At 41.1% G+C, this 6,929-nt stretch overlaps 1 annotated feature.

Moving 5' to 3' along the window:
* Positions 5,308 to 6,507: an enhancer, noted in NCBI's record as "BRD4-independent group 4 enhancer chr4:67430296-67431495 (GRCh37/hg19 assembly coordinates)". NCBI's record gives its function as "activates an origin of replication core promoter dependent on BRD2, P300/CBP, MED14 and CDK7 cofactors, and independent of BRD4, by STARR-seq in HCT116 cells {active_cell/tissue: HCT116}" and the evidence as "EXISTENCE:reporter gene assay evidence [ECO:0000049][PMID:35650434]".

The raw sequence follows: 6,929 nt of genomic DNA on the forward strand, positions 1-6,929 counted from the left end.
TCTAACTTACACAGATGGCCAAAAGTAGTAATATCAAGTAGAGTAATGAAAATATTCTCACTGCTTTGGTCATTGGACAAAATTTTTCTAAATAAGTATATTTGAATTGATTTTTATTTTAATTAAATTTGAATCAGACTCCCTTGCCTTGTATAGTTTGGAAAGCTTAAAGAGGAATGATCGAGGGAAATACTGTGACAACATGGAGGAGAAGGTTTCAAACAGGGAACAATTAAGCATCTTCTATAATTTTCTAGATGTTGGAGGTGGAGCAGTGAACAAACATTCTTCCTGTGTCCACACAGCATACATTCGGGTGACGAAAAGAGATGTATAAGCAAATAAAAAACTAAATGTCTTCTTTATACATTTTATTGAGAAAAAACTTGCAAAAAGAGGGTGGATGTGAGGTATGTGACGATATTTTACACTTTTATAGAGTGTCAGTAAGGGTCTCACTGACAATCTGATATTTGAACAGAAACTAGGTAGAAGTATCTGAGTGCACCATATGGCTCACCAGGGAGAAAAATGATCAACACTTTAAGTCGAGATTTAAATCAAGTCAAAATTAGCTAAAGCAACATTAACAGCAACATACAATAAAATTGTCTCTTGAGTCATTAATTCCTTGAAAGCTTTTTTCAATACAGCACAAGATTAGCAGTCTTTATCCTCATTTACCATTTCCTTCATTTCTTTTCTGAGCTGGCTTCATCTCTTGCCCTGGCTTTCATAACACTAGACCCTCAATGCAGTCTGCTGTTTTAGGCGGTTCATGCCACTTTAACAGGATCCCTGAGATAGGGTAATTTATTTAAAAAATTTATTTCTTATAGTCTGGAGCCTGGGAAGTCCAATATCAAGGTACCGGCATTCACTGGTCATGGCCCATTCCTCATAGACAGTGCTTTCTCCAAGTGTCCTTTCCTGGTGAAGGGACAGAAAGGCAAAAACGGACCTACCACTGTATAATGCCACTTTTATGATGTCCTTAATCCCATTCACAAAGGAGGAAATCTCCTGACTGAATCATTTCCTAAAGGTACCACCTCTTAATACTATTTCTTTGGGAATTAAGCTTTAACGTAAATTTGGGACGGGATCCAAACATTCAAACCATAGCTCTGTTTAACTACTAGTAGTGTGTCCAGAATTGGTGGGTTCTTGGTCTCACTGACTTCAAGAATGAAGCCGCAGACCCTTGCGGTGAGTGTTACAGCTCTTAAGGTGGCGCGTCTGGAGTTTGTTCCTTCTGATGTTCGGTTGTGTTTGGAGTTTCTTCCTTCCGGTGGGCTCGTGGTCTCGCTGGCTCAGGAGTGAAGCTGCAGACCTTCGCAGTGAGTGTTACAGCTCTTAAGACAGCGTCTGGAGTTGTTCATTCCTCCCGGTGGGCTCGTGGTCTCGCTGGGTTCAGGAGTGAAGCTGCAGACCTTCCCAGTGAGTGTTACAGCTCTTAAGGCAGCACGTCTGGAGTTGTTCATTCCTCCTGGTGGGCTTGTGGTCTCGCTGGCTTCAGGAGTGAAGCTGCAGACCTTCGTGGTGAGTGTTACGGCTCATAAAAGCAGTGTGGACCCAAAGAGTGAGCAGTAGCAAGATTTATCGCAAAGAGCGAAAGAACAAAGCTTCCACAGTGTGGAAGGGGACCTGAGCAGGTTGCCACAGCTGGCTCCGGTAGCCTGCTTTTATTCTCTTATCTGGCCCCACCTACATCCTGCTGATTGGTATAGCCCAGTGGTCTGTTTTGACAGGGCGCTGACTGGTGTGTTTACAATCCCTGAGCTAGACACAAAGGTTCTCCATGTCCCCACCAGATTAGCTAGATATAGCGTGTCAACACAAAGGTTCTCCAAGGCCCCACCAGAGTAGCTACAGAGTGTGGATTGGTGCATTCACAAACCCTGAGCTAGACACAGGGTGCTGATTGGTGTGTTTACAAACCTTGAGCTAGACACAGAGTGCCCATTGGTGTATTTACAATCCCTGAGCTAGCATAAAGGTTCTCCAAGGCCCCACCAGAGTAGCTAGTTACAGAGTGTCCATTGGTGCATTCACAAACCCTGAGTTAGACACAGTGTGCTGATTGGTGTATTTACAATCCCTGAGCTAGACATAAAGGTTCTCCACCTCCCCAGACTCAGGAGCCCAGCTGGCTTCACCCAGTGGATCCCACACCAGGGCTGTAGGTGGAGCTGCCTACCAGTCCCCCTCCGTGCACCCGAACGCCTCAGCCCTTGGGTGGTGGATGGGATTGGGCGCCGTGGAGCAGGGGGCGGTGCTCGTCGGGGAGGCTCGGGCCGCACAGGACCCCACCGGGCGGCGGTGCACAAGCATAGTGGGCTGCATGTCCCGAGCCCTGCCCCGCGGGGAGGCAGCGAAGGCCCGGGGAGAAGTCGAGCGTAGCGCCGGTGGGCCTGCACAGCTGGGGGACCCAGTACACCCTCCGCAGCTGCTGGCCCGGGTGCTAAACCCCTCATTGCCCGGGGCCGGCAGGGCTGCTCCCAGTGCGGGGCCTGCCAAGTCCACGCCCACCCGGAACTCCAGCTGGCCCGCAAGCTCCACGCGCAGCCCCGGTTCCCGCTCGCGCCTCTCCCCCCACACCTCCCTGCAAGCTGAGGGAGCCGGCTCCGGTCTTGGCCAGCCCAGAAAGGGGCTCCTACAGTGCAGCGGTGGGCTAAAGGGCTCCTCAAGTGCCGCCAAAGCAGGAGCCCAGGCAGAGGAGGCGCCAAGAGCGAGCAAGGGCTGTGAGGACTGCCAGCACACTGTCACCTCTCAGTAGTATAACATCAAATAGCCTGCACAACTACATCCTTATCCCTCTCCGTTTTTGTTTATATAACCATTGCAGATTTAAGAGAAATAAGGAATTCACCCACTCACTCTAAAAGTTAACTTTTTTTCCATTTAACAATACATTAGTTTCTTCAATATTTGTCTATTATCCTATAATGCATTCATATCTTCAATATTGGTGTAAAATTCATATCACTTGGAAAAGACATCCTTGCATTCCAGTGAGGTCACATTACCATTCATTACTCCTGCTTAGAAAATAAGTACATATTAGTTTCTATTGCTGTTTCAACAAATTACTGCAAACTTAGTGGCATAAAACAACATCAATTCATTATCTCACATTGTTATTGAGTCAGAAGTCCAGGCAAGGCAAGGCAAGACTTAACTGGTTCTCTGGTTAGAGTCTCACAAAGCCAAAACCAACATGTCAGCAGGGCTGCATTCTTTTCCAGAGGCTCTTGGGATGAATCTGCTTCCAAGTTCATTCAGACTGTTGGCCTAATTCAGTTCTTTGCAGCTACAGTAGCCCCTGTTGCAGCTGCTGAGTATAAGCCAGAGGGGGGCTTTACCCTCAGAGGCTGTCTACATTTCCTATGTTTTACACACACCCCTGTCCCCAGCAGCAGCAGGTCTGGTCCACACACTCCAAATATTTCTGACCTCCCCTTACCCTCATCTCTCTTCTGCCTCCCTTTCAGATGCATTTCTATGATCCCAATTAGAGATTTTCTCTACTTTCAAGGACTCAAGTGTTTTGATTGGGCCCACCCAGATAACTGAGAACAATCTCCCTATTTTAAGGTCAGGTAACTTTGATTCCACCTGAAAAGTCCTTTCAAAGCAGCTCCTAGATTAGTGTTTGCTTTAATAACCAAGGGACAGGAATCTTGAAGGAATATCTCAAGAATTCTGCCTACCACAAAGTGCTAGCACATTTTGTCAGTTTGCACTATCTTAAGAGCAACTGTTTAATCTTCATAATTTTCTATTATAAATTAAAGCTATTATCATTTTATGTTAGAAATAGGAAAGGCTTTTATTTACTGTTCTAAAGGAGAGTAGTTCAAGTGCCTCTATAACCTGAACTCAAAAATAGTTGCTTAATCCAGCTTAATTTAAAACTATTCTCTTGACTCCTGCTCATCTAGAGGTAACATCATCCTACATGCAATTTATGTGATTATTTCAGGAGGAAGATGTGCTCTGGAATTATATAGATGTTGGTTTAGGTTCTGTTCCATGTCTCACTGGGTAAAGAATATTGGGTAAATTACTTAAATCACATTCAATATTGCACTAGAATTACAATATCATGATTTTTAAAAGGCATAATTTCTTTCAATAATCGAGTATTCAAAAGATAATCACTTTCAAGTATTCAAATCGAGTATTCAAATCGAGTATTCAAAAGATAATGCTAACTGAAATAGTGACAAGAGTTTTAATGTTAATTCCAGATCCTTAAGGTAAAATTAACTAATTAGCTTTTTAGGCAAGTTTATGTTTATAATAATGTCAACTATGAGCTTCAGCTTCTACACACCATTTGTTTGTTTATTCTATAAGTTTTAATTAGATATAAGTAATTCAAAACACAGAATAACGGATCTTATAGAGAAGGATTCCTAAAGCACAAATAAAAAGGAGGAGAATTTGACAATACACATTAAATTAACGATAGAGTCTAACTATAAAATTTGCAAACATATTTGGATATGGAGCCAAATTAGAAAATTCACGATTAGAAAGTCCTTAATGCATTAATAGTACCCACATTTTCTTTTTCTATGATTCAATTAATATATTAGATATTAGAGAAAGCATTACCTGACTTGTATTATAGATGTATGGCCTTCAAAGTTGTTTAAAATAGAAAATAAAATAATTTTCATAGTAAATAAAATAAACAAGAACTAAACATAATGTTTAACTTTTAAAATTCAGAGCTGAATAAAATATGTGTGTATCTGTAAAGTATGTGTGTGTGCATACACATATTTTTTACCCAATTTTTATTATATTGTAATTTCAAAAAATAAAAAGAAATCAACATAATGCAAGTTTGTTCACTTTCCCAAGATTCATGAAGCCCACTTAATTAAATTACTATACAGAACCCATTGATCAGTATGTTATTATTCATCATTAGTTGCAGCATGGAATTTGTATCTGTTTTCTCTTGAACTCTAGGTCCTGTCAAATTAAAAAATAATCTGTAAATATGACAAACAATTTACAAAAAAAAAAGAGATAAATTCTGTTAATAGAGACTACACAATAAGAATTCCCGGGCCGGGTGCGGTGGTTCATGCCTGTAATCCCAGCACTTTGTGAGCCCGAGGCAGGCAGATCACTTGAGGTCAGGAGTTCAAGACCAACCTGGCCAACATAATGAAACCCTGTCTCTACTAAAAATACAAAAATTAGCCAGGCTTGGTGCATGCCTGTAAGCCCAGCTACTGGGGAGGCCAAGGTAGGAGAATGGCTTGAACCCAGGAGGCAGAGGTTGCAGTGAGCCGACATCACGCCACTGCACTCCAGCTTGAGCAGTAGAGCGAGATTCGGTCTCAAAAAAAAAAAAAAAGAAAGAAAGAAAGAAAAAGAATAATTCTCTTCTTAATTGTTGACAAATTTAATTCACAAGAAAAATATTCTTGTGTTTATTGGTATATTGGATAAAATTTGAAGGTTTTTCTAGCACATTGTAGTATCCTAAAGAACGTAGCTTTTAACAGCTGTTATAACTTTAAGGATTTGGCATTTTCTATACTAAAAAAAAAAAAAACCACTACAGGAAAATGGGCTGGGAAAAAGTTAAGCTTACCACACTGGAAGCAAGAACCTCTCTTTTCTATGATTTTTAACTCATTTCCAGGCCACCCGCCTAGTTTTCTGGATGGTGAGATTTCTTTTCCTTAGACTAAAGCCAGAGAAATTGTTCAAATACCTTAATTCTGAGACACTGCTTGGCACGCACAGGGTTACTCAGAGGAGCAACACTGCAGCATTTTCATAGCGCGGCATAAAAATGGAGGTTTGCGTGTATCAAATCCTTGACAAATGTTCCAGCAGTTAAGTAAAACTTTGTTTATATTGCCTGCCTCTCAGCAGAAATTAAGAACTGTGGAAACAATTCACGCAAGTGGTGGGCAATCTTCTCTCGTTCTCTCTTAGTGAATATGACAAGCTCACCTGCTGTGGGAGGCTGAAAATAAAAGACAATCTCACCACATTAATAAAACATGAGCCACAACTGAATCTGAGGCCAACTAAACCACCAGAGATCTAGTGTGACGCTTAATTTTGTCGATGATGGAAGTACTTTAGCCCAAGGTAACTTTCATGGAGGCCATATTTGCGTGCAAACCTTCACTTAAAGCACTACCGCCGGGCAGAGTTAATGTTCATGGGAGTGTAAACTTACAGTAAAAGGCAGGAACCACATAAGAAGCTACATCACTCAAGCCAGTAAACTTTGGTAGTGGTGTAATGTTTTATTGAAGCTCATTTCTCCTCAAAGGAGATCTGAAAATCCACTTAGTGCCCTCAGAAAATTGTCTGTTTGGACTGCATGAACTGGTTCCCAATCACAGAAAGATCAAAACATCAAAAGAAGCTAATAGGGTTTTGCCATGAAATACAGTCCCAAGAGATCTAGAATTAAAAAGGGGCGGGGGAGGTTTCCAGGGTAACTATTAAGTTCGAGGTTTTGCTGGAATTAGGGGAACATACTTCAGTAAAGAGAAGGATAGGGGAGACAGAAGAAACATACATGAGAAAGGGGAAATCAGAAGGAATAAAAAATAAGAAAAAAGCAATTATTTCCTTGGAAGTGGAAAAAAGGAAGACCCAGCAAATTGAGTAAAACCATTTTTAAATTTCTTATCAGTCATACAGTATTTGAAAATGATGCTGAGGCACTGAAACAGAATTATGGTGATTCAGATGAAAAACATTCCTTGGAAAGTCATTTTGAATAATAAGAATTCATAACAGAATGCTGCCAGAGAAAAGACATTTTGTGAAAGAGAATTTTTCCTTCTGTCAATTTTATATTTGTAGGCACAGATTTTAAAATTATGTTTTCATTTATTTCTACCTTTGTTTCTTGAGACCAAAAATTTGATTTCTTT

This window comes from Homo sapiens, chromosome 4, assembly GCF_000001405.40.
Source record: "Homo sapiens chromosome 4, GRCh38.p14 Primary Assembly".
In the NCBI taxonomy this organism is placed as follows: Eukaryota; Metazoa; Chordata; class Mammalia; order Primates; family Hominidae; genus Homo; species Homo sapiens.